General features: G+C 52.0%; 2 protein-coding genes and 1 pseudogene across 14 annotated transcripts in view, besides 2 other annotated features; 2 read left to right on the top strand and 1 right to left on the bottom strand.

The window, feature by feature from the left end:
* Positions 1–1,820: 1,820 nt before the first annotated feature.
* Positions 1,821–17,367, bottom strand: TRIM50 (tripartite motif containing 50). Of its 7 annotated transcripts, none has more exons than NM_001281450.1 (7): positions 17,185–17,367; positions 13,674–14,090; positions 9,432–9,527; positions 8,107–8,337; positions 7,972–7,991; positions 5,850–5,974; positions 1,821–2,795 (listed from the first exon to the last, which is right to left on the bottom strand). In NM_001281450.1, exons 2-7 carry the CDS (start codon positions 14,070–14,072, stop codon positions 2,206–2,208), a joined length of 1,461 nt encoding a protein of 486 aa, NP_001268379.1. In that variant the 5' UTR covers positions 14,073–14,090; positions 17,185–17,367; the 3' UTR covers positions 1,821–2,205. The 7 variants fall into 7 exon arrangements, with proteins under 7 accessions (NP_001268379.1, NP_835226.2, XP_011514091.2 ...); NM_178125.3 differs by having other exon boundaries at positions 7,972–7,994; XM_011515789.2 differs by lacking the exon at positions 17,185–17,367 and adding an exon at positions 14,750–14,860.
* Positions 3,392–4,498, top strand: RPL7AP77 (ribosomal protein L7a pseudogene 77; annotated as a pseudogene).
* Positions 7,829–8,722: an enhancer, noted in NCBI's record as "H3K27ac-H3K4me1 hESC enhancer chr7:72732543-72733436 (GRCh37/hg19 assembly coordinates)". NCBI's record gives its function as "activates a minimal SCP1, AML or CMV promoter by ChIP-STARR-seq in primed H9 embryonic stem cells {active_cell/tissue: H9 hESC(primed)}" and the evidence as "EXISTENCE:reporter gene assay evidence [ECO:0000049][PMID:30033119]".
* Positions 8,723–9,615: an enhancer, noted in NCBI's record as "H3K27ac-H3K4me1 hESC enhancer chr7:72733437-72734329 (GRCh37/hg19 assembly coordinates)". NCBI's record gives its function as "activates a minimal SCP1, AML or CMV promoter by ChIP-STARR-seq in naive and primed H9 embryonic stem cells {active_cell/tissue: H9 hESC(naive and primed)}" and the evidence as "EXISTENCE:reporter gene assay evidence [ECO:0000049][PMID:30033119]".
* Positions 17,446–25,256, top strand: part of FKBP6 (FKBP prolyl isomerase family member 6 (inactive)) — a 30,465-nt gene continuing 22,654 nt past the window's right edge. For 2 of the 7 annotated variants that reach the window (NM_003602.5, XM_047420986.1), the window contains exons 1-5: positions 17,446–17,770; positions 17,860–17,977; positions 18,645–18,734; positions 19,435–19,637; positions 20,942–21,061. In NM_003602.5, the coding sequence (NP_003593.3) occupies positions 17,714–17,770; positions 17,860–17,977; positions 18,645–18,734; positions 19,435–19,637; positions 20,942–21,061 (588 nt within the window). In that variant the 5' untranslated portion in view covers positions 17,446–17,713. The remainder of the gene's footprint in view (positions 17,771–17,859; positions 17,978–18,644; positions 18,735–19,434; positions 19,638–20,941; positions 21,062–25,256) is intronic. The other 5 variants (XM_047420984.1, NM_001135211.3, XM_047420985.1 and 2 more) reach the window with 5 other exon arrangements.

The following is a 25,256-nucleotide window of genomic DNA, read 5'->3' on the forward strand; positions in this document are numbered from 1 at the left end:
ATGATCAGGGGAAGGATTTGGAGAGAAGGTTATCCTCGATTATCTGGGCAGGTCCTGCATGGCATCACCAGTATCCCTATAAGAGAGAGGCAGAGGAAGGACAAGCGCAGTGACTCACACCTGTAATCCCAGCACTTTGGGAGGCCGAGGCTGGCAGATCCCTTGAGCCCAGGAGTTCGCAACCAGCCTGGCCAACATGGTGAAACCCCATCTCTACTAAAAATACAAAAATTTGCCAGGTGTGGTGGTGCATGCCTGTAATCCCTGCTACTCAGGAGGCTGAGGCAAAAGAATTGCTTGAACCTGGGAGGCGGAGGTTGCAGTGAGCTGGGATCATACCACTGCACTCCAGCCTGGGCAACAGAGCAAGACTCTGTCTCAAAAAAAAAAAAAAAAAAAAAAAAAAAAAAAAAAAAAATAAGAAGCAGAGGAAGATTAGACCGGCACATACAGAAAAGGCCACGTGAAGACGGAGGCAGAGATTGGAATGATGCGGCCACAGGGCCAGGAAACACCAGGGCATGGCAGCCACCACCTGAAGCTGAAGAGGAAAGGGGCAGGTTTTCCCCGACAGTCTCCAGAGGGAGCGCGGCCTTGCCGTCATCGTGATCTTGGACATCTGGCCTTCAGAACCATGAGAGATTAAATTTGTTTGAAGCCACCAAGTTTGTGGTCATTTGTTACAGTAGCCACAGGACACCACAGCCACAGGATAAATCTCAGGGATGGGGGAGTAGGAAGATCATGAGCGCGGTTTTGGACATGCCCTTGACGTCCAGGCGGAGCTGCTGAATGGCTGGAGCGCTACTGGATGTGGCATGTAAGGGACGGGTCTCCCGGAGAGGGAACTTCTGAGTCATCCCTGTGGAAGTGATGACTGGAGCTATGGGTGTGGAGGGGTAGACAGCCAGAAGAGGAGCCTGGAGGTCCTCAGGCCATGAGTGGCCAGGAGGAGAGGCTGAATCCTTGAAGGAGACTGAGGAGAGGAGGGAGGAAAGTCAGGATTGTGGGGAGGCTGAGGGTTGCTGTTTGCCCCAGCTAGTCTCCCTCAGGCCCTCTTATTGGTCTGTGCACCCAGTTTGACTTCCAGTGGCCAGAGCCAGCATCTTGGTTAGAGGGCTACCCCAGAGCTTCCAGGACCCACTTAGCCTGTGGGTATGGTGAGTCAAAGGGGCATGACAGCCTAGGCACAGTGGCTCACACCTGTAATCCCAGCGCTTTGGCAGGCCAAGGTGGGAGGATTGCTTGAGGCCCAGACCAGCCTGGGTAACATAGCAAGATCCCGTCTCTACTAAAAATTTAAATATTAGCTGGGTATGGTGGCAGACACTTGTTGTCTCAGCTACTCAGGAGGCTGAGGCAGGAGGATCACTTGAGCCTGAGAGGTCAAGGCTGCAGTAAGCTACAATTGTGCCACTGCTCTCCAGCCTGGGTGACAGAGCAAGATCCTGTCTCTGAAACTAGACTCGAGGCTGGGCACGGTGGCTCACGCCTGTAATCCCAGCACTTTGGGAGGCTGAGACAAGTAAATAATTTGAGGTCAGGAGTTCAAGACCAGCCTGGCCAACACAGCGAAACCCCATCTCTACTAAAAATACAAAAATTAGCTGGGTATGGGGCACATGCCTATAATCCCAGCTACTCGGGAGGCTGAGGCAGGAGAATCACTTGAATCCGGGAGGTGTAGGTTTCAGTGAGCCTACATCGTGCCACTGCACTCCAGCCTAGGTGACAGAGAGAGACTCCATCTCAGGAAAAAAAAAAAAAAAAAAAGACTCGAGCATAAAGCAGTATGTATAGCAACTAATATGTGCAAATCATTTAAAGAGAAAGAAATAATGTCAAATTTATTATCCTTGATAGTAGTTGAAAGTTCACAGTAATATGGAAAAGGTATACATGGGACTATTTCTGCCCTCGGAAGCGTCTGCGCAGATAGCATGGTTAGCAAGTGGCAGGAACCATGGGGATTTCAGTGTGTCCCTGGCTGCCAAGGCCTGGGGGCCGAAGTTTACAAATACACCCTTGGCTGAGGGGAAAGGGACTGGGGTCCTGTTCCCTATCATTACATGTTCCAGGGACACACAGGCCTGAAGACCTTCCTAAACAGTGACGATATCACCTCAGGCGGGACCCAGCAGAAGCCCGCGAGTCCCCGGTGCCCCGCCGGGATGGGCCTGTGGGCCGGCAGGACTCCGGGCGGCCCTACAGCTTGGTGGGCTGCTCGGGGCTGAGGGGGCCAGGCCCGCTGGGCGGGGGCAGCACCATGGGCAGCGAGTTGCTGCCCCTCTCGTGCCAGCAGGTGTCCAGGATGGGGTAGAGCTTGCCCTGGAAGTCGGCCTGGAAGGTGTAGAGCGGCCGCAGGTCATCGGGGCGGTCGGCATCGAAGAAGGTGAGTTCGCCCTGCTCATAGTGCAGGTAGAGCCCGATGCGGTGGGGGTGGCCGGCCACGGGCAGGGGTACCCGGGGGCAGGCAAAGGCTTCGTACACCCGGCCCTCCTTCAGGCCGATCAGCCACACGCCGTGCTCGGGGGACCTGTTCAGCTTGCCCTTACGGCTGGCTGTGCCCTTGATGACCCCCAGGCGCCAGTCGCTCTTGCTGCCCACCACCACCTCCCAGTAGTGGCGGCCGCAGGAGAAGCCGCGGCTGGCCAGGACGCAGGTGCTGTAGTCGAAGCGCTCAGGCTGGCTGGCTCGCCGCTGGGCCAGAAGCCCGCACTGCACCACCGTGTTGCCCTTGGAGAGCTCCAGGAGTGGGTGGGCAGTGGCAGGGTCCAACTTGAGAGGCTCCGGGGCTGGGAGGGAGATCACAGAGGGTCTGTGAGGCCACGTGGAGGGCAGCAGACCCGGCCCACAGAAGCTGATGGAGGCCCTGAACTCCCCAAGGAGAGGGGCTGTGTCTTCCTCATCTCTCTAGCCCCAGGGTCTAGAAGGGGCCAGTACAGGGCTGCTCCCTGAATGAATGAATGAATGAATGAATGAATGAATGAATGAAGTTTTACATAAGGAAGATCAATCACAGACTGATTGCATCCACCCAAGGCAAAAACAGTGTTTATATAAAAGGGAGCAGCTTGGTGGGCTGTGGGGGGCTGAGGTGGCTGGAGAAAGAAATGGACACTGGGCTCGGGGTTCTGGCCTGCCTGCCTGACACAGAGGTGTTGTGGGAAGGACCCGGAAGACACCTGTCCTGTGAGCCTATAGCTCAGCCCTCAGGGATTTCTGGAGAACCCATAACAACTGCAGCTGTTGGATTTGCTAGCCTAGTCAGCCTATTCAAGGACGAACTAGCCCACCTGAGCTTTTTGCTAGTTACCAGCTGATCCGTTTACCCCAGAAATGTGAGATGTGCTCCCCCCTGCCCGCCTCCCACCCCTTCCCGCCACCCAAGTTGCCGCAAGGAAAGAAGGCCAAGGGGAAGAAGGTGGCTCCGGCCCCTGCTGGCGTGAAGAAGCAGGAGGCCAAGAAAGTGGTTTATCCCGTTTGAGAAAAGGCCTAAGACTTTTGGCACTGGACAGGACTTCCAGGCCAAAACGGACCTCGCCCACTTTGTGCAATGGTCCTGCTCGGTCAGGGTGCAGTGGCGGACAGCCATCCTCTATAAGTAGCAGAAACTGTCTCCTGCTATTAACCAGTTCACCCAGGCCCTGGACCGCCAAACAGCTATTCAGCTGCTTAAGCTGGCCCAGAAGTACAGACCAGGGGCAAAGCAAGAGAAGAAGCAGAGACTGTTGGCCCTGACTGAGAAGAAAGCTGCCAGCAAAGGGGATGTCCCCACTAAGAGGCCACCTGTCCTTGGAGCAGGAATTAACACCGTCACCACCTTGATGGAGAACAAGAACGCTCAGCTGGGCCAGGCACAGTGGCTCATGCCTGTCATCTCAGCACTTTGGGAGGCTGAGACAGGCAGATCACTTGAGGCCAGGAGTTTGCAAGCAGCCTGGCCAACATAATGAAAAACCCCGTCTCTACTAAAATACAAAAATTAGCCGGGCGTGGTGGCACACGCCTATAGTCCCAACTACTCAGGAGGCTGAGGCAGAAGAATCACTTGTACCCAGGAGCCAGAGGTTGCAGTGAGCTGAGATCACACCACTGCACTCCAGCCTGGGTGACAGAGACTCTGTCTCAAAAAAAAAAAAAAAAAAAGGAAGGCTCAGCTGGTGGTGACTCCACGCAACATGGGTCCCATCAAGCTGGCTGTCTTCCTGCCTGTGCCTGTGTGTAAAGTGGGGTCCCTGACTGCATCATCAAGGGGAAGGCAAGACTGGGATGTCTAGTCCCCAGGAAGACCTGCACCACTGTCGCCTTCACACAGGTTAACTTGGAAGACAAAGGAGCTTGGGCTAAGCTGGTGGAAGCTACCAGGACCAATTACAACAACAAATGTGATGAGATCCGCCATCACTGGGGAGGCAGTGTCCTGGGTCCCAAGTCTGTGGCTCACATTGCCAAGCTCAAAAAGGCAAAGACTAAAGAAACTACCACTAAACTGGGTAAAACGTACACTGTTGAGTTTTCTGTACATGAAAATAATACAAATTTTCCTTCAAAAAAAAAAAAAGAAATGTGAGATGTACAAACAGGATTCACAGTTCACAAACTGCAATTTTTTTCCTTCTTATCTTTCCTTTTTTTTTTTTTTCATTCTTTTCTTTTTTACTGATGAGGTCTCCTCTGTCACCCAGGCTGGAGTGCAGTGGTGCAATCATAGCTCACTGCAGCCTCCCAACTCCTGGGCTCAAGCAATCCTCCTGCCTCAGCCTCCTCAGTAGCTGGGCCCACAGGCACATAACACCACACCCCACTAATTATTTTTTGTAGAGATGGCGTCTCACTATGTTACCCAGGCTGGTTTTGAACTCCTGGCCTCAAGCAGTCCTCCCACCTTGGCCTCCCAAGGTGCTGGGATTGCAGGCGTGAGCCGCCGTGCCCAGCCCCTTCTTTTATATAAACCCTATTTTTGCTTTTGGTGGATGAAATCGCTCTGTTAGCAGTCTCCCTTATGTACAAGACAGCATGCTAGTAATAAAGGAATGAAATGTGTTTGAGTTGTTTTTGACAGAGAACAAGAATAGGTTGGTTCAAAAGTAATTGCGGTTTTTGCCATTACTTTGAAGACCACTTGTCCTTTGAGTAGGAAGGACATTTTTAAAAGGATATTACTTTTTTTTTTTTTTTTGAGACGGAGTTTTGCTCTTGTTGCCCAGGCTGGAGTGCAATGGCACGATATCAACTCACTGCAACCTCCACCTCCCTGGTTCAAGTGATTCTCCTGCTTCAGGCTCCTGAGTAGCTGGGATTACAGGCGCACACTACCACGCCCAGCTAATTCTTGTATTATTAGTAGAGACGGGGTTTCACCATGTTGGCCAAGCTGGACTTGAACTCCTGACCTCAGAAGATCCGCCCTCCTCAGCCTCCCAAAATGCTGGGATTACAGGCATGAGCCACTGTGCCCAGACAAAAAGTACATTACTTTTAAAAGTAATGGCAAAAACTGCAATTACTTTTGCACCAACCTAATACCATTTATGAAGCACTAAGCTGCAACACACGTATGTCTATATACAAGCTCTGCAGCCTGGCCGGGTGGGTGCAAATAGCCCCACTTTACAGATGAGGAACCTGGGCTCAGAAATGACACAACTTGCCCAGCCAGCAGCTAGGAAAGGAAAGAGTAAGCAGGAACCCAAGCTGTTCGGAAACTCAGTCCCATGCTCTCACTAGGACCCTCCACAAACCTCCATCTGAGTTCTCTGTAGCTTATTATCTCTCTGATACAATCGATGAACTGCCACCTGCCCTGGGCGGCAGCCCTCAGGAAGGAGGACGGGTCAGGGCCTCACCTGGCAAAACTTTCCGGAAGAGCCTTTTCCACACGGTCAGCTTGATGTCAGCCTGGTGGAGGCCTGGCTTGAAGGAGATGGGGCTGAATGCGCCTTCTAAGGGCCGGGCCTGCGGCATCTCTGCTCTGCAGGTGACAGTTCACAGTACAAGAGAGTGAGGTATCACGTGGCCCACCCCACCCCTCCATCCTATCTATGTTTGCCCAGCCAGATCCACAGTGCAGGACTGCAGTCACAATGCCCATCAATGCCCATCATCCCCTCCCCTGCACAGCCCCTTCAGGGAGGACCCATCTCCTTCCTAGAAGGGGAAACGCTCTATAGTGGTGCTTCTAGAGTGCAGGTTTGGGGACCAGCAGTGTTGGTTGGAAAATGGTCCAACCCATTCCCAGTAGAAAGTCAATGGTCCACCTGGGAAATGGTCAGAAATGCAGGTTCTTAGACCCCACACCAGACCTGCCAATCAGAAACCAATTATGGGGGCCAAGTAATGTGTCTTTTTTTTTTGAGTCAGAGTTTCACTCTGTCACCCAGGCTGGAGTGCAGTGGCATGATTTCGACTCAGTGCAGCCTCAACCCCCTGGGCTCAAGTGATCCTCCCACCTCAGCCTACCTAGCAGCTGGGACTATAAGCATGTGCCACCATGCCCAGCTAATTTTTTTCTATTTTTGGTAGAGACAGTTTCACCATGTTGCCCAGGCTGGTCTTGAGCTCCTGAGCTCAAGCAATCCACCCACCTTGGCCTCCCAAAGTGCTGGGATTACAGCTATGAGCCACCATGCCAAGACTTTTTTTTTTTTTTTTTTTTTTGAGATGGAGTCTTGCTCTGTCGCCCAGGCTGGAGTGCAGTGGGGTGATCTTAGCTCGGTGAAACCTCTACCTCCCAGGTTCAAGTGATTCTCATGCCTCAGCCTCCCCAGCAGCTGTGATTACAGGTGCCTGCCACCACACCCAGCTAATTTTTGTATTTTTCATAGAGACGGGGTTTCACCATGTTGGCTGGGCTGGTCTCGAACTCCTGACCTGAAGGCATCCTTCTGCCTCAGCCTTCCAAAATGCTGGGATTACAGGTGTAAGCCGCCATGCCCAGCCTCTGTCCCTTCATTTAAACCCATGTCTTCTGACCAAATTGTCTCTAAGACTAAAAGAAATGTGAGAAACACGGAGTCTCCCATAAACAGGGAGTGAGGAAGGCTTGGGAACTGCACGTGTTCGTTTGTTGGGTCTAGAACATGGATCCACTCTCTTCCCACAATCTGCAGAGCAAGTTTCAGGCAGGGCTGATACTGCCTGCTGCGCAAGGGTGAGGAGGGTAAGCAAGGGATGCCCGGTGCTCCTGGATGTTGCTTCTGGCCATTTCCCACCTCTCCCAGCTCCGACTCCTGGTGATATCCTGCCTTACACCCAGCCACCCTGAACTCATAACCAGAGTCCACATGCCACTCCCCCTTTTACAGGACCGTTTCCTCGGCTTGCCTGGCAAACTCAGGTCCTGGGTCCTTCTCAGCCATCAGGCCTGTGCCCCTCTGCCAGGTCCCCCAGACACCTGCTCCTCCTCTAGCATTCTGTTTTGTTTTCTGAGACAGGGTCTCGCTCCGTCACCCAGGCTGGATCATGCAGTAGCATGGTCACGACTCACTGCAGCATCAAACTTCTGGGCTCAAGCAATCCTCCCGCCTCAGCCTCATGAGTAGCGGGGACTATAGGCACATGACACCATGCCCAACTAATTTTTTTATTTTTGTATTTTTTGTAGAGATGGGGTCTTACTACATTGGCCAGGCTGGTCTCGAACTCCTGGCCTCAAGCAATCCTCCTGCCTTGGCTTCCCAAAGTACTGGGATTGCAGGCATGAGCTACCCTCCTCTAGTATTTCTGTAGCTTGAGTGAACTTCTGCTGTTCTAGGTACCCACAGTTCACCATCTGCCTCCCCACCCATCTACGAGACCCTTGAAGGCAGGGACATGACTTTCCTCTGTTTTTCCCAGGCTCAGTTATAGAGCCAGCTGTGGGCAGCTGCTTGGGAGGCGCTGGTTAAACCGAATGGAGGAACCAGTGGAGCTGAGATGCCCGTGCCCGCAGCCACCAGACCCTGGCTGAGCTCTCTCCAAGGTTATTACCTGGAGGCCATGGAGTGGAACTTCTGGAAGGCAAGAGAGAGGGAGGTTAAGGCTAGAAGGTGGGAAGCTAGGGCACTGTTGGGAAGGGGAAGGCCCTGGCGGGTATGGGGATGGGACGCCTCCCTGTCCACTCACCCGGATGAACTTGTGGTGGTCCTCATTGCCGAACTGTTCCAGCACACACTCGGCTTGGGCCAGCCGCTCCCGGGTTCCCTGGGCCTGCTCCAGCTGCATGTCCAGGGAGGCCACCAGGCCACGGGTGTGACCCCCTATCCCCTCCAGGCAGCGGGCCTTCTCCTCATCCACCAGGTGGTGCAGCTCCTGGAACTCGCGGCGGATCACCCAGCTGAAGACATCCGACTCATTCTGGGACAGGGAGGGCTGGTCACTGCAGAGTCACAGCCGAGCTGCCAGGCTCTGTCTGGCTGGCCTCGGTGTCCCCAGGGCCTTCCTGACCGGGTTGGTCCTGGGACCTGAGTCTCAGGGGAGGCTGCATGGCCTGGCGCCGGGCAGGGAGTTCACCCCATGCATGGGGAGCCCTGGCGGTGGCCGTGGGGAGGGTGACCCCAGCTCCCGTTTCAAATGGAGAGGCTCTGTTTTGGCCTGTTTTAATTTTTTTTTTTAAGAGACAGGGTCTCACTCTGTTGCCCAGGCTGGAGCACAGTGGCATGATCATAGCTCACTGTAGCCTTGACCTCCCAGCCTCAAGCAATCCTCCCGCCTCAGCCTCCCGAGTTGCTGGGATTACAGATGCACGCCACCACACCCCACTTTGCCTATTTCAGCTATTAAATGTGCATATCCCAGAGTTCCACAACTGAAGGAAAGCAGGAAGGCCCTAGGCGAGCAGGCTTTGCTGTGAGGGAGCCAGAACTCCCTGCAGAACCCTGAGCTCCGCCTCCACCAGGCAGGGCTGGTACCGCCTGCCGCGCAAGGGTGAGGAGGGTAAATGAGGGAGGCTGAGTGCTCCTGGATCTTGCCCGGCTCCTGTTTCTGTTTCACAGCCACCTCCAGGGCCGGGGCACTATGGCTCCCAGCCCCATGTGCCTCTCACTTCGGGAGATCAGCCAGGGCCCAGGGCTGCCAGCCTCTCCACGCCTGAGCACCCAGGTACTGGGAGGGCACCATGACAGGCTGGCAAGGTCAAGCAGACACAGGTGGCACAGGGGCGGAGGAGTCATGCCCATGCTTTGAGCTGTTTACCCCCTGAGACTCAAGTCCTGGGTTATCTCAGTCTCAAGGACACAGAGGGCAAAAGCCAACTTGGAGCCAGTCCTAACGACAACTGGGTTGAATTCCCCTGAGAGGATTTGCGCTTTCCCCACCCCGCCCTGGGAATGCTTTGAGTTCTGGCTTTATATGGAAGGCATGGTTTTCTGTAAAGGACCAATGAGAACTGAGTTCTACAGGAAAGTGAAGGTGGCCGGTCCCAGGCAGGGGCAGAGGGAAGGGGCACTCACGACGATTCGGGTCCGGTTGTTCACCAGTTTGGCGATGAGCTCATCCACCTTTTTCTGCTCCTGCTTCAGCTCAGAGATGAGGGCTGCGAGCTCCTCCTGGAGGCAACAGGCCATGGCCCCATGAGCAGCTGATCCCTCCCCTTCTCAGCTCCTTGGATCACCTTCTTGGGAGTATCCCAATGGCCACAAGCACTCCCAGGGAAACCAGGGCGGGAACCAGAGCCACCCAGGTACCCTTGAGTCCAAAACAGGTTAAATTGTTCGAGAATAGTCTGGGCGCAGAAGCTCACGCCTGTAATTCCAGCACTTTGGGAGACTGAGGTGGGACTTCACTTGAGGTCAGGAGTTCGAGACTAGCCTGGCCAACATAGTGAAACCCCATTTCTATTAAAAATACAAAAATTAGCCAGGCGTGGTGGCATACACCTGTAGTCCCAGCTACTTGGGAGGCTAAGGCACGAGAATCGCTTGAATCTGGGAGGTGGAGGTTGCAGTGAGCCAAGATCATGCCACTGCACTCCAGCCTGGGTGACACAGTGAGACTCTGTCTCAAAAAAATAAAAATAAAAAATAAGATAAATTAATTCAAGAATATTCTAGGCTGGGCGCAGTGGCTCACGCCTGTACTCCCAGCATTTTGGGAGGCCGAGGCGAGTGGATCACCTGAGGTCAGGAATTCGAGACCAGCCTCAACATGGAGAAACCCTGTCTCTACTAAAAATACAAAATTAGCCAGGCGTGGTGGTGCATGCCTGTAATCCCAGCTACTCGGGAGGCTGAGGCAGGAGAATTGCTTGAACCTGGGAGGCAGAGGTTGTAGTGAGCCAAGATCGCGCCATTGCACTCCAGCCTGGGCAACAAGAGTGAAACTCCGTCTCAAAAAAAAAAAAAAGGAATATTCTAGGCTGGGCACAATGGCTCGTGCCTGTAATCCCAGCATTTTAGGAGGCCAAGGTGGGAGAATCACTTGAGGATAGGAGTTTGAGACCAGCCTGGGCAACACAGTGAGATCCCATCTCTAATTTTTTTTTAAAGAATATTCTGCATTGACAGCAGGAACTTCCCAGGCATAAGAGGGTCTCAATGTCACCCCTCTGCATGACATGGAGAGAGTCACTAAACGTTACAGCTACCAGAAGTCACCATGTGATGCTGGCACTTCCTGGATTGAATGCTGCCTGTAGGGGACCCATCAGGTGAACTCTGTGGTCACCAGCAGATCCAGAATTAGTGGGTATTTAATCAGGAGCCATCACAAAAAGGCCGGCGCCAGGTGAGGCTAATTCTAGGGCCAGTGGTGCTCACACGGGCCTGGGTTAAACCTGGTGAATCCCCACACCCATAAACACCTGAATCCATTCCTGGTGGGCTTGGACACAGCACGGATTTGCGACCTCCCCAAGCTGACATAAATGCACTTCTCCTGGACTGCCCGGGCCCCAAACCTGACCTAGCCTTGGGGGTGCCAACCGGGACCCCTGGACCACCATCTACTGCACGATTTGACCAGAGCCCCCGTCGGTTTGTACCCATGCAATATACAGAATTTTTGGCTTGGATCGTGCCCAAGCACCAGAGAGCTGCAAGGGGCTTTCAGGAAGGGAGTTGCGTAAAGAATCAAGCACTTGCTGGCATAAACGGACAGAGTCCTTGCTCTGGAGAACGAGGCATCAGAATATTTCACAGCGGCCCAAGAACGACATTCCAATGTCACTCTCCCCAGGCAGACAGACGGGACTCATTCCTTCCCCGTGAGAGGAACTAAGTTATGCAAATCAATGCACCCATCAATCGAGCATCTCAAAATCTCAATAAACAGGAGGCAACGGGAACACCTAAAAGAGGGCAATAAAGGAGTGCAATTTAGTTGTATTCTGTGTTGCAACAGAGAAGAGCCTCGGGATCATCAAACCCCAAATCTGGCCGGGTACAGTGGCTCACACCTGGAATCCCAACTCTTTGGGAGGCTGACGCGGGTGGATCACGAGGTCAGGAGATCGAGACCATCCTGGCTAACACGGTGAAACCCCGCCTCTACTAAAAATACAAAAAATTAGCCGGGCATGGTGGTGGGCGCCTGTAGTCCCAGCTACTTGGGAGGCTGAGGCAGGAGAATGGCGTGAACCCGGGAGGCGGAGCTTGCAGTGAGCCGAGATCGCACCACTGCGCTCCAGCCTGGGCGACAGAGCGAGACTCTGTCTCAACAACAACAACAACAAAATTAAGCCCAAATCTAAAACAGGGACCCAAGCTGGGCTGCTGGATCCTAACCACAAAGGACAGATAAGCTCCCAGCCTGTTTCCCTCCCTCCTTCCCATTAACTAATAAAACATAAACTCGGCTTCCTCACCTGCAGTCAGCTTCCACCTTCCATACTCCCCTAAACCTGCTCTTGCCAAGATAATCAGTTCTTACTGCTACATCTAACACTTTTCAGTCCTCAGAGACATTTCACACACGTGATCTCCTTCAGTCTCTGTCTCTCTGATTTCCGGGAGGCCACACTCAGCTGGTGTTCCCGCTCTGAGGATTCTTTCTATCCCTTTTTTCAGGGCTCTCTCTCAATCCAGATTTTAAGCCTGGTACCCCTTGGGGTCATCATCAGTGTCTTCCCTTATCACTATGTAGACTCTCCTGGGTTGGTCTTCTCCACCAAAGGGGACTTCAGTGACCACCAGGAGGAAGGACCCTCCACACCTCTCGCCCTGAGCCCCACCGCTGTCCTGGTCTGCACACCCCTCGACCCGACTGCACATATCCAGGCACCTCCGGCTCCACCTGCCCACGCCGGATCCTCCCCTGCGATCATTTCCTCTGTGCAAGGGGGAATCACAGAGCTGGAGTCAACCTTCCCGTCCCTCACCCTCCTTGCCACACACAGTTGTCAGGGTTTTTTTCTGTTTGAAATTTGTCTTTGGTCTGCCCCAGGCCTTTGTCCCAGTTCCCATCGACTTAGGTCCTGGCACCTTCATCTCTCACTGTCCTTTTGCCTCACCCTCAAAGCTCCCCTCTGCCAGAGAGATCTGAGCATTTCATCACTGGCTTAAAACCCTCCAGCCTCCGCCTTGCTCCCTCATCCTGTGAATAAACTCCAAATCCCTTCCCGGGTCACACTGGCCTCTCCATGCCCCAGCCGCAGCTTACCTCGCTGGCCCTATCTCACCCCCACCGATGTTCCCTCCAGCCTTATGCTGGGATTACAGGAGTGGCCACTGTGCCTGGCCAACAAGGCTAATTTTGAAACTTTTGTAGAGGCAGGGTCTCACTATGTTGCCCAGGCTGGTCTCAAACTCCTGGACTCAAGTGATCCACCCACCTCGGCCTCCCAAAGTGCTGTTATTATAGGCATAAGCCACCCAGTCACGTGTTTTATAACAGGTGTTTTATATATATAACAGCCAGCCAGGTATTATTATTACTCGTCTTAAAGAATGATCTGCTAGGTTTGGTGATGGCCTATAAAGGCAGGAATTCACTGATTCAGCATTTTGGACATTTACAATGTGCCAGGCATGGCTCCAGGCACTGAAATACACCAGGGGACAAAATGAAGTCCCCACCCTCATGCACCATAGAGTGCAAACAGGGGAGTGTCCAGACACAAACAAGGGGCCTAGGGCAGTGGTGCATGCCTATAATTCCAGCACTTTGGGAGGCCCAGGCAGGAGGATCATTGGAGGCCAAGGAGTTCAACACCAGCCTGGGCAACATAACAAGACCCCATTTCTACAAAATATGAAAAATGAGCTGGGCATGGTGGTGTGCACCTGTAGCCCCAGCTGCTCGGGAGGCTGAGGTGGGAGGATTGCTTCAGCCTAGGAGTTGGAGGCTGCAGTGAGCCATGATCACACCACTGCACTCCAGCCTGGGCAACAGAGTGAGACGCTGTCTCCAAAAAGAAAGAAAAAAAAGAAAGGAGAGAGGGAGAGGGAGAGGAAGAGGGAAGAGGGAAGAGGGAAGGAGAAGGAAGAAAAGAAAAAGGAACAAACCAGAACTGCAAATAAAAAAACAGGAAGGGGTGAGCACGTGACACCAGGGAGCTCCCATCCTGTTCGTGTGGCTTCAATCCCCGGCACCTGGGTTGAGCTGCAGCTCAAACGCTAAGGAATGAATGCGCCAGGGCACAGCTGCAGGGAAATCGAGGATAGCTGGATCCTTTTGGTGCCAGGTGATGGCACCAGAGAGCACAGGATCTGGTCCCCGCGGGCCTCTCCAGCCGCCCCTGCACCCTCACTCCCCACCTTCATGCGGCTGTAGACGGTGGAGACGGGCGTGACCGGGTGGTGTTGGTGGGAGCCCAGCAGACCGCAGAGGCCACAGATGAGCTCCTGGTCCTTCTCGCAGAAAAGGCTGAGCGGGTTCCGGTGGTGCACGCAGACCTTGGGCTCCGGGTCCCCAGGGAGCCTCAGGGCTTCGATCACCCTGGCCAGGGAGACGTTGGGCAGGGAGCTGCTGCCGTCCACCGCCTGCCGGCACACGGGGCAGCGCAGCTCGGCATCCAGGTGGCAGGACAGGGAAACCAGGCAGCCCTTGCAGTAAGAGTGGCCACACTGCAGCATCAGGGGCTCCTTGAAGACCTCCAGGCAGATGGGACACTGAAGCCGGTCCTCCAGCTCTGGCAGGCTCACCTGCCAAGCCATCCACACTCACTGCCCGGGCTGAAACACAGGCATCCGACCTCAGTCCTGTCCCCTCCCCTCCCCCTGTCCAGCACTCATCCACCACCCTCAACCCTAAGGAGCACCAGAATTTTAGAGGAAACACTTTGAGTCCTGGATCCCAGTCCTAACCCACATGACCTTGGGCCCCAGTTTCCGCAGCTGTAAAACAAAAGACTGCAGTGAAAAAAACTGGTCCCTTGAAGATATGTGTGTGTGTGTGTGTGTGTGTGTGTGTGTGTGTGTGTCTACATTTTTTACTCAAATTTGGAGACAAGCATGAAAGGGGCCATCTGCAGGGTCATTTGCAGTGACACTAATAATGCAAGGTCCAGCCCCAGCATGCATCCGGACCTAGAACTGAACAGCAAAACCTAGGCAAGCTCCCCACCTTCTAGATCAGTTCCCAAACTTTCGGGAAACTGTTGAAAGCATAGGTGTAATAGAGATTCTAGAGGCCCACCTTCAAAGGATCTTCTTCAGGGGGTCTCCAGTGAGACCCAGAACTCTACACTTATAGGTGACACTCCCAGGTAATTCTAGAGAGCCTGGAACCTACAAGGCCTCTACCCTGATCTCCCACCTGCTCCCCTATGAAAGCTTGTCAATGAGACAGAAGCAGCACCAGCAGCCCCCGGGGGAGCCCGACATTGGAATACCTGGCTTCTCACAATCCGCTGGGCCTCCCACTACAGCCTCAAGCCAGCATCACTGGCTTTCCTTCTTCCCAGCAGGGAACAGCAGGCACAGAGTCAGAAGTGGGAAATGCAGCTGGACGCCTGCACCACTGCCTGGTCTCTGCCCCTTCTCTCCTCCCCTTTCCCAGCAACACCCCTGTGTCCCCAAGGTCACCAGAATCAGGTGGAAACTGGGTTACATCACGGGACTGGGGAGGCAGCCTTTGTTGGGCCTGCTCTGATAACATTCAGGTGCTGGCCTTGGCCACTGTGGAGGAGGGGCAGAAACAGAGGGACTGGGTACACCGTCCACACCTCATGACCCCAACAGGAGCAGATAGGTGCTGGGAAACAGTTCTTTCTGAATCTCAAACTCTTGCTCTTACTCTCCTTTTTTTGGGCGGGGGGGCTGGGGGGTGGGGAAAGACAGCTTGTTGCTCTGTTGCCCAGGCTGGAGTGCAGTGGCGTGGTCATAGCTCACTGTAGCCTCCAACTCCTAGGCTCAAGCCATCCTCCTACCTCAGCTGCCTGAGTAGCTGGGACTACAGGTGCATGCCACCATGCCAAGCTAATATTTAAAAAATTTTTTTAGATACCGGGTCTTGCTTTGTTGCCCAGGCTGGTCTTCAACTTCTGGGCTCAAGCAATCCTCCCACCTTGGCCTCCCAAAGTGCTGGGATTACAGGCGTGAGCCTTACTGCACCCAGCCTTCCCTCTCTCTCTCTTTTTTTCTAATACAAACTGGCAGATGATGATTCAATCTCTCTATTTTTTTTCATTTTATTGTTTTATTTATTTTAGTAGAGACAGGGGTCTCGCTTTGTTGCCTGGGCTGGTTTTGAACTCCCGGCCTCAAGCAATCCTCCTACCTCAGCCTCCCAAAGTGCTGGGATTATAGGTGTGAGCCACCAAGCCTGGCCTCTTTTTTTTTTTTTTTTAAGATATTCAAAGGTATCCTTATTTACTTAGATTTTTTAAATCAAGGTATAACATATACAAGTGTGCAAATCTTAACCACACAGCTTGATAAACACTTGATGTATATACACCCACTCTCAAGAACAAGATGTAGAGTGATTCCAGAAAGCTCCCTCCTGCCTCCTCCCAGTCATAACTCCTAACAAGGACAGCCACTGTCCTTATTACCATGTTGTCATGTGGACTGTTTTTGAATTTCACATAAACAGCATCATATAGAATGTACTCTTTTGTGTCTGGTTACTTTCACTCAATAATATTGAATTGTGAGTTTTTTTTTTAATGTGAAGTCTTTCAACGTTTAGAAATTCAATGACACTCTGTTATACAGGTTTTGTTTGTTTTCTGAGACAGAGTTTTGCTCTTGTTACCCAGGCTGGAGTGCAGTGGCGCAATCTGGCTCATTGCAACCTCCGCCTCCCGGGTTCAAGTGATTCTCCTGCCTCAGCCTCCCAAGTAGCTGGGGTTACAGGCGCCTGCCACCATGCCCGGCTAATTCTTTGTAATTTTAGTAGAGATGGGGTTTCATCATGTGGGGCAGGCTGGTCTCAAACTCCTGACCTGGAGCGATCCACCGGCTTTGGCCTCCCAAAGTGCTGGGATTACAGGTGTGAGCCACCGCGCCTGTCCTGTTATACAGTTAATGAATATTATGGTCATAATATACTGCTGTGGTTTGAATGTATCCTCCTAATTTCATGTGTTGGAAACTTAACCCCCAATGGGGCAGTATTGAAAGTTGGCTGTAGCTTACGCCTATAATCCCAGCACTTTGGGAGGCCAAGACTGGAGGATCACTTGAAGCCAGGAGTTCAAGACCAGCCTAGCAACAAAGCTACAAACCATCTTTCCAGCAAATTAAAAACTAAAAAATAAATTAGCTGGGCCTGGTGGTGCAGTTCTGTAATCCCAGCTACTCGGGAGGCTGAGGCAAGAGGATCTCTTGAGCCCAGGGAGTGGCGGCTGCAGTGAGCTGAGATCCATCACTGAACTCCAGCCTGGGCTCAGAACGAGCCTCTGTCAATCAATCAATCAATCAATCAATCAGTGTCTTGTCTGGGCCTAAATTCTCTAGAACACAATGGAAGAGAGAAAGTGAAAGAAGGTGGAAGTAACCCACAGCTGGGAGCCCTGAACCCTGCTGGTGGCAGGTGGCTCTCGTGTCCTCACCAGGTTGCCCTGCAATCACATGCTGCATCCTTTTTCCTGAACCTGCCCCACGTGCCCCACCACGCAGCCACTCCGAGGGCTCCTTCAAGGGCGGCAGCCCTGTCACTCACGTGTTCCAAAAGTGCTTCCCCTGTGCCCTGATGGCCTCGCCATGTGTCTCATCATGCCCCACGCGCTCCCACTGTGCGCCCCACCTCGCACCCGTGCCCCATCATGCTCTGCGTGCTCGTTAGGTGCCCCATCATTTCCCGCTCGCTCTCGTTACGTACCCAGCCTCCGGCCCCTGTAAGTGCCCCATCGTGCTCTCTGTCGCTCCAGTTAGATGCCCCATCCTGCCCCGCGAGCTCCAATTACGTGCCCCACCTAACCCCCCACGTCCGTGCCTCATCATGACCCGCACGCTATGGTTACATGCCCCGCCTCGCGCTACCGCGCGTGCCCCATCATGCTCTGCGCGCTCCCATTACGTGCCGCCACCTCGCGCCCCTGCACGTACCCAACGTGCCCTGCGTGGTCCCGTTACGTGTCCCATCATGTTTCGTGCGCTCCCATTACGGATCATACCTCGCACCTCACCGCGTGGCCTCTGTAGTTCCAGAGCTCGCGAGGGCCAGGGCCGTTGGCGGCGGTTGGAACGAAACGATGAGTGCCTCCTCGTGGCCCCAGAATGGAATGCCGCCGTCGGTAGGGGTCTGCCGGGCATAAAGGGGCCTTCGGAACCCCACCAGAGTCACAGCCAGGGAGGGCAGCGGGGCGCACCAGGCCGAAGGCTCACGCCACAGGGAGGGCAGCTAGGACATGGGGGGAAGCGCGTTAAACCAGGGAGTCCTGGAAGGGGACGACGCCCCCGGCCAGGTGAGGGCCCAGACGTTTCGGGGGCGTAGACGCTGAGGGGTGGCCGGGTGGGTCTGCGGCTCTGAGGCCTGGCTTTCATTCTCCATCAGTCCCTGTACGAGCGGTTAAGTCAGAGGATGCTGGACATCTCGGGGGACCGGGGCGTGCTGAAGGACGTCATCCGAGAAGGAGCTGGAGACCTAGTGGCGCCTGATGCTTCGGTGCTAGGTACGCCCTGGGGCGGTTTGTCCTCAGGATCCATGTCATCGCACTCTGTTGGGAAGAGAGAGGCCTCATTTTCAAAAAGCACTTAATGGGGTTGGAAATGCTTTGTTTGAAGTGGATTTTTGTTTTTTGTTTTTGAAACGGGGTCTTGCTCAGTTGCCCAGGCTGGAGTGCAGTGGTGCGATCATAGCTCACTGCAGCCTCCACCTCCTGGGCTCGTGATTCTCCTGCCTCAGCCTCCCAAATAAGGGATTTACAGGCGCGATCCACCATGCCCGGCTAATTTTTAATATTTTTGTAGATATGGGGGACTCTATGTTGCCCAGGCTGGTCTCAGACTCCTGGACCCAAGTGAGCCTCCCACCTCAGCCTCCCCAGTAGCTGGGATTACAAGCATGAGCCGCTGCTTCCGGCCTGAATTAGTTTTTTTAAGACGAAAGCTAGGGACTCCTATGTCCCCTTTGTGTGATGCTTCCGCAAAGCTCTTGAACCTCTGAGCCAAAGGGCCGGCACCCAAAATGCAGAGAGAAGATTTATTCCTGTACCTCGGGGTGTCGGGCAGCTTAAGCTCATCTGTTCACATTGTTTCTGTGTGATCATGAGAGACTCGATATTATGGTGGCGTGGGTGTTTTTGGTCCATTTTCCTTACATTCTTTCTTCTATCCTAGTGAAATACTCGGGATACCTGGAACACATGGACAGACCCTTCGATTCTAATTACTTTAGGAAAACTCCTCGGCTAATGAAACTTGGAGAGGGTAGGTTCAGAGTGGGAGCTGGAGAAGAAGGAATTGTTTAGGGGCTAGATGAGGCACGATGCCTCAGGCTGGGAAGACTGCTCAGAGCGCAGGTTCTTTGAGTTGGCTTTGCTGAGGCTGGGTTTTGGTAACACAGCCATGTTCTCTCCCCTTGAGACCTAGGCATTTGGGAGATGGCTTAACGGGCAAGGTATAATCTTTGCACTCTGACTTAACTAACCACTGGGAATGTTTCTTTGTTCATTTATTAAGTAAAACTCAATCGAATACTTACTTCCCACAATACATGGTGAAAAGAGAGGATGTACTCAGAAGATTAGAACATCTCCACCCTTAAGGACCTCACAATGTAGTGGAGGAGACTGACCTGCACTCAGCTCACTTGGTAGAATCGGATGAGTGCCTGGGAGGTGAAAGCAGTGTTGTGGGTGTGCTTAATGAAGGCATGATTAATTCTAGCTGGGAGGTTCAGGGAAGGCTTCCTGGAAGTGGGGGCATTTGAACTGAGCCTGGAAGTTTGAATAAAATTTATATCAGTAGAAGCTGGGCACAGGCTCAGGAGGAAGACATTGCAGGAAGAGGGAACTGTGTGAGGGAGACATGGAGGCCAGAGTACTGCTGACTTAGAGGGGGAAGAAACTGATAGCACTGAGCAGGATACTGAGCAAGCTTCACCCACCTTCTTTGTCCATTCTTACAGATATTACACTGTGGGGCATGGAGCTGGGCCTTCTGAGCATGCGGAGAGGAGAGCTGGCCAGGTTTCTGTTCAAACCGAACTACGCCTATGGAACGCTGGGCTGCCCTCCCTTGATCCCCCCAAACACCACTGTCCTGTTTGAGATTGAGCTGCTTGACTTCCTGGACTGTGCTGAGTCAGACAAGTTTTGTGCTCTCTCAGCTGTAAGTTCCAGAGCACAGATGTCAGCACTTTATAGAGAGACGAATGGGTTGGTGTTATTGGTAATTCTTCTAGATGGCCTGCCCTGAGGCTGATCGTCCTCTCCAGGGTACCCCCGCGGCTCCTGTGCGGTGGCGGCGGAGTTCCTCTGCTTCCTAGTCTGTGTTTGTCTTAGTAATGGCTCTCATGTGTAGATAAATGTGCTGGGCAAGGTAAGGCTGTGAGTTTAAGGATTAGTGGTTTGAACTGATTTTTCAGTCATCCTTTGCCTAGTTCTCCCTGTGAGACAGTGAACACTTGCTTTTCATCGTTTGGTTTCCAGCAAGGCAGGCATTGGTAGCTCATAACTAGGGTGACTGAATAATTGATTGTCCAGCCCAGCACAGGTGAGAGTAAAAGGGGCTGTTCACTGGAGGGGTTACCCATGACATCGGGTTTAAACTGAGACAGTCCCAGGCAAACTGGGATGTATGGCCACTGTCCTCACCACTTAAGTCTTGCCTCCTCTTTGTAGCCTTTCACTTAACCCTGTCCCGTAGATGCAGGGCTTCTGACCCCGTCAGCAGTCACAGGCACTGTCTTTATCATGCTGTCTCACACTGACTCCATCTGTGGCCTTAGAGGTCCATGCCAGGGTTTATATCTTCACATGGAGTCTCCCCAGCTAAACTGTCAGCACTCCAAGTGAGGGAGCTCACCCTTTTTCATCATTCTGAGATTCGAGTTTCTTGCAAATGCCTCGTCCCACCTGTGGTGAACTCATTTAGGATCTGGGGGGTGGGGCCGGGACCAGAGAGGCTCTATGGGTGACTCTGAAGATGGCCAGGGCAGAGCATCATGACCATAAAGACTGCCAGGGCCCTGAGCAAACCAAGACCTGTTCAGTGCTTGGTGGCCAAATAGTGGTTTTGAGCACTGACTTCTGTGCTTGGCAAGTTCCGTCAGTTTTTGATTCCATGGGACACTGCTTCCTCAGAGAACATCAGGGGAAGACTGAAGACGTAGACTTCCTTCTGGCTCTAGGGTGTAAAATGGGACAGGTTATAACACTGGTGTGGCTTCTGTCAGATTCAGAGGTGACTCCAACACAGAAGGCTGTAAACAGAAGTGCATGATCTGAAAAAGAAGAGCTCACAGCTGTAGTAACACTTCCTTTCTTTCAATTACTATTTTTTTAAATGGAGACATGTTCTCACTATGTTGCCCAGGCTGGTCTCGAACTCCTGGGCTCACGTGTACTAACACTTCCATTGTGGCATTACTGCTTTTGGTTTCCTTGCTGAATATTCCTGTCTCTGGTCCTCAGGAGCAGCAAGACCAATTTCCACTTCAGAAGGTCCTGAAAGTGGCAGCTACGGAACGGGAGTTTGGCAACTACCTTTTCCGCCAGAATCGTTTCTATGATGCCAAAGTGAGATATAAAAGGGTGAGAATGCTTTGAAAGTTAAGTGTAAGTTTAGATCCTGAAAACTTCCTTGTTTAAAAAACACAGATTTTGTTTTGTTGTGATTTTTGTTTTGTTTTGTTTTTGAGACAAGAGTGTCGCTCTGTCGCCCAGGCTGGAGTGCAGTGGCGCAATCTCAGCTCACTGCAAGCTCCGCCTCCTGGGTTCACGCCATTCTCCTGCCTCAGCCTTCCAAGTAGCTGGGACTACAGGCACCCGCCACTTCACCTGGCTAATTTTTTTGTATTTTTAGTAGAGACAGAGTTTCACCGTGTTAGCCAGGATGGTCTCAATGTCCTGACCTCGTGATCTGCCCACCTCGGCCTCCCAAAGTGCTGGGATTACAGGTGTGAGCTACCGCGCCCGGCAAAAAACACAGATTTTTGTCTTTCTCCCTACTTTCTATGAGCAGCCATTAAGAAAAATCTCATTTAAAAAAATCCTCATGCCAGGCCAAGGCAGGTGGATCACCTGAGGTCAGGAGTTTGAGACCAGCCTGGCCAACATGGTGAAACCCCGTCTCTACTAAAAATACAAAATTAGCCGGGCGTGGTGGTGGGTGCCTGTAATCCCAGCTACTTGGGAGGCTGAGGCAAGAGAATCACTTGAACCCAGGAGGTGGAGGTTGAGGTTGCAGTGAGCCGAGATTGTGCCGTTGCATTCCAGCCTGGGCAAGAAAGGCAAAAAAACTCCCATCTCAAAAAAAAAAAAAATCCTCATGCCAAAGGGATAAGTACTGGAGAGGGGACTAACGGGGGGATAAGGGCTGAAGAGGGGACTCTCGAGGGGATAAGGGCTGGAGAGAGGACTCACGGGATTGGGAGGCACCTGGGAATGTTCTGTGTTTTGACGTGGTTCTTGGGTACATGGGTGTGTTCAGGTTGTGAAAAACATTTGCCTCTGTATATGTACTTGAACTAGAAGTGTTTAGAATTTCCATCTCACTGCTCTAAAACAATTCAGTTTATTAACTTTTAAAAATTCTCATCCCAGTGCTTATTAGGTCCTCCACCAACCGATTTCTCCACCCCTTTGCCATCATCATTTCATGTCTCTGACAGTGGAGGCTCATTTGGCGATTCTAGCCTGAGGCAATTGCAGCCTCATCAAGCCTCCTGTTGTGATTTTGCTTCTTGTGTAGGTTATGCTGAGCTGTTTTCTGTTTCCTTTTTAATTTTATTCATTCAACAAACATGGCTGGACGCAGTGGCTCATGCCTGTAATCCCAGCACTTTGGGAGGCTGAGGCGAGTGGATAGCTTGAGGTCAGGAGTTTGAGACCAGCCTGGGCAACGTGGCGAAACCCCGTCTCTACTAAAAATACAAAAATTTGCTGGCATGGTGGTGGGTGCCTGTAATCCCAGCTACTTGGGAGGCTGAAGCAGGAGAATCACTTGAACCCAGGAGGCGGAGGTTGCAATGAGCCAAGATCGCACCACTGCACTCCAGCCTGGGCAACAGGGCAAGATTCTGTCTCCAAAAAAAAAAAAAACAAAACACCACACATGCGTGTGCTGTCTCTGGAACATACTCATATAGGCCAAATGTTGCCGACCCTGTCACCCAATATCTATTCCCCCTTCTCCTAACAGAACCTCCCATTTCACTCAAAGCATCAGTGTACTAATTAAAAAACTACATCTTCCCAGCTTCCCATGAGCTTAGGGTGTCCCTGTAACAAGGGTCTAGCCAAGGAGACATAAAGGGAAACCTCTGGAGGGTCTTCCAGAAAGCTCTTAACATAACACAAGCACCAGACTCTTCTCCCCTCCCTCCTTCCCACCCAGGTGACCCCGCAATGCGTGGCCAGGGGAGAATCTCCCTGGGGCCCGCCACACAGCTCTTGTCCTGGGGCTGCCCTATAATGCTAGTTTGTGGATTTCCTGTTTTTTTCTCAACTTACTCCTTTGTTTTAACAGAGTATGTTGATGTATGTCTAAAATATTCTTGGTTTTTAAATACATATTTGTCTAGAGTTGTTATTAAAAAGTCTTTTGGCTGGGCACGGTGGCTCATGCCTGTAATCCCAGCACTTTGGGAGGCCGAGGCGGGTGGATCACCTGAGGTCAGGAGTTCAAGACCAGCCTGGCGAACATGGTGAAACCCCGTCTCTACTAAAAATACAAAAATTAGCTGGGCGTGTTGGTGGGTGCCCATAGTCCCAGCTACTTGGGAGGCTGAGGCAGGATAATTGCTTGAACCCGGGAGGTGGAGGTTGCAGTGAGCCAAGATGGCATAATTGCACTGCAGCCAGGGGAATAAGAGTGAAACTCCATCTCAAAAAAAAAGGTCTTGCTAGTTCTGAGCTCAAAGCTAACAACAACAACAAAAAAATCTTACTACTACTTAGGTTCTTTATTCCTTTCTACGTGACCTGTTTTTTCTTCTGTAGAGACGAAGATCGTTTTTCCCCGGCATTCCTAAATTTTACGGTGATGTGCCTCTGCGTGTGTGTATCTTTTCATTCAGGAAACTTTTCCTCCACTCTGGGAAACTTTCTTGAGTTATTTCTTTGATAATTTACTCTTGTTCCCTCTGCCCTCTTTGTCTGGAACTCCTATTATCAGACCTCCTGCACTGAGCTTCTGGCTGCTGTCCCTCCCCCCTCCCCACCTAGTTTCCATCTTTTCTCCTGTTTGTGTCATGTATGGAAGCTTTCCTTGACTTTTTGCCACCTCTTCTGATGAATTTTTCATTTAAAACTGGGGGGCCAGGCACAGTGACTCACACCTATAATCCCAGCACTTCAGGAGTCCAAGGTGGGAGGATTGCTTGAAGCCAGGAGTTAAAGATCAGTCTGGGCACCATAGCAAGATCCCATCTCTACAAAAAATAAATTTTAGAAAATTGAAGGGCTATTTGTTCTTCCCCTCCCTAGCATTCTGTTCTTGTTTCATGTGTATATTATTTTATATATTTAGACTGTCGATTATAATTTAATCTCATTCTTTTTCTGTTTGGTTTTTCTACATATTGGGGACTGTGTCCTTTTGCACTAAGTTTGTCAATGACCTAAAGATGGTTTATTTCTCACTCATGTAAAAGGCTAGAGTAGAGGCATGCAAGCTAGGGCCAGTTGGTGACTCTGCTGCAGATATTTTCAGATACCCAGTTCTCATTTCTGGGGTGAGACTCTGGCCTTGTAGTCCAAGATGAGGGTCTCTGAGTTCTAGCAGCAGAAGGGAAGAAAGGCTGAAGGCATGTACAGCTCTGTTAAGGAAGGTCCTTGTCATATGATGCTTCTACTGAATTATGTTTTCCAGAACCTGTTCTCCAGGCTTTGCCTAGCTGCAAAGAAGCCTAGCAAATATCTAAATTCTGGTTGTACGTGTTCCTGGCCAAAAAAAAAAAAAAAAAAAGTCCTATTACTGTGAAGGAAGGGAGGGCAGCTGCTGGGAGGCAGGAGGCCACCTCTTTCACAGAGGGTTTCCTCAAATGGCTGGTGATCTTTGACCACTAAGATTTAAAAGAGACATCACAAAGCTGATTGGGAGCTCCAGGTGCTTGGTGGGGCAGGTTGCAGTGTGGTCAAAGACAGCCTGCACACATTAGAGTATGTAGGTGTTTCCTCAGGGTCCATTGAGTCCTCCTCTTTCTGCCCCGTGTGTGTGCCAAGGGACCGGCATTCTGGGAGCCAAGCTGGGCAGCAGGACAGAGGTTCTCACTGTCTGGTATTGAGATTCCTTTTCATAGCCGCGTTACCAGTATACCACCTTCCTGCTGTCTGCTCCAGCCTGCCCCCAAGTCAAGGGCCTCTTTGGTTCCATTTTCCCAGAAAGGAGACCTCGTGATTGCTGAGGCCATCTGGACACATAGGGGCAGTGGACGGGGTGGGGAACATTTGACCTGACCTCCTTTATTCAGCCCCACCAGATAGCTCTAATTCCTGGTTCCATCAGTTCCTAGGTCTCTCCAGGCTCTGAGGGGCAGACCGGTCCCTTTTACATTGGCACCACTCTGCCAAATCAGTCATCACACTGCCACCCACCCTGAACCTTTGGGTTTATTGGTCCTTTTCCTGTCCTTTGCTTGTGTTGGAGTACTACCTGTCTTAGTCCCTTAGGGTTGGAGAAAGTAGGGATGTGTGTGGAGCCTGCCTTGCTGAGCCAGAGGTTTTGCACGTCTTTTCCTAGTGGAAAGTTTCTCCGTCTTTGGAGCAGCGGACTGACATTGTCAGC

This window comes from Homo sapiens, chromosome 7, assembly GCF_000001405.40.
Source record: "Homo sapiens chromosome 7, GRCh38.p14 Primary Assembly".
NCBI lineage: Eukaryota > Metazoa > Chordata > Mammalia > Primates > Hominidae > Homo > Homo sapiens.

Coding starts and splice junctions, on each gene's coding strand:
- TRIM50 (NM_178125.3), bottom strand. CDS start 14,072: ATGGCTTGGCAGGTGAGCCTGCCAGAGCTGGAGGACCGGCTTCAGTGT. Junction 8,338..9,431: donor ACAACCGGACCCGAATCGTC/GTGAGTGCCCCT, acceptor TCCCTGTCCCAG/AATGAGTCGGATGTCTTCAG. Junction 2,796..5,849: donor CTTCCGGAAAGTTTTGCCAG/GTGAGGCCCTGA, acceptor TCTCCCTCCCAG/CCCCGGAGCCTCTCAAGTTG.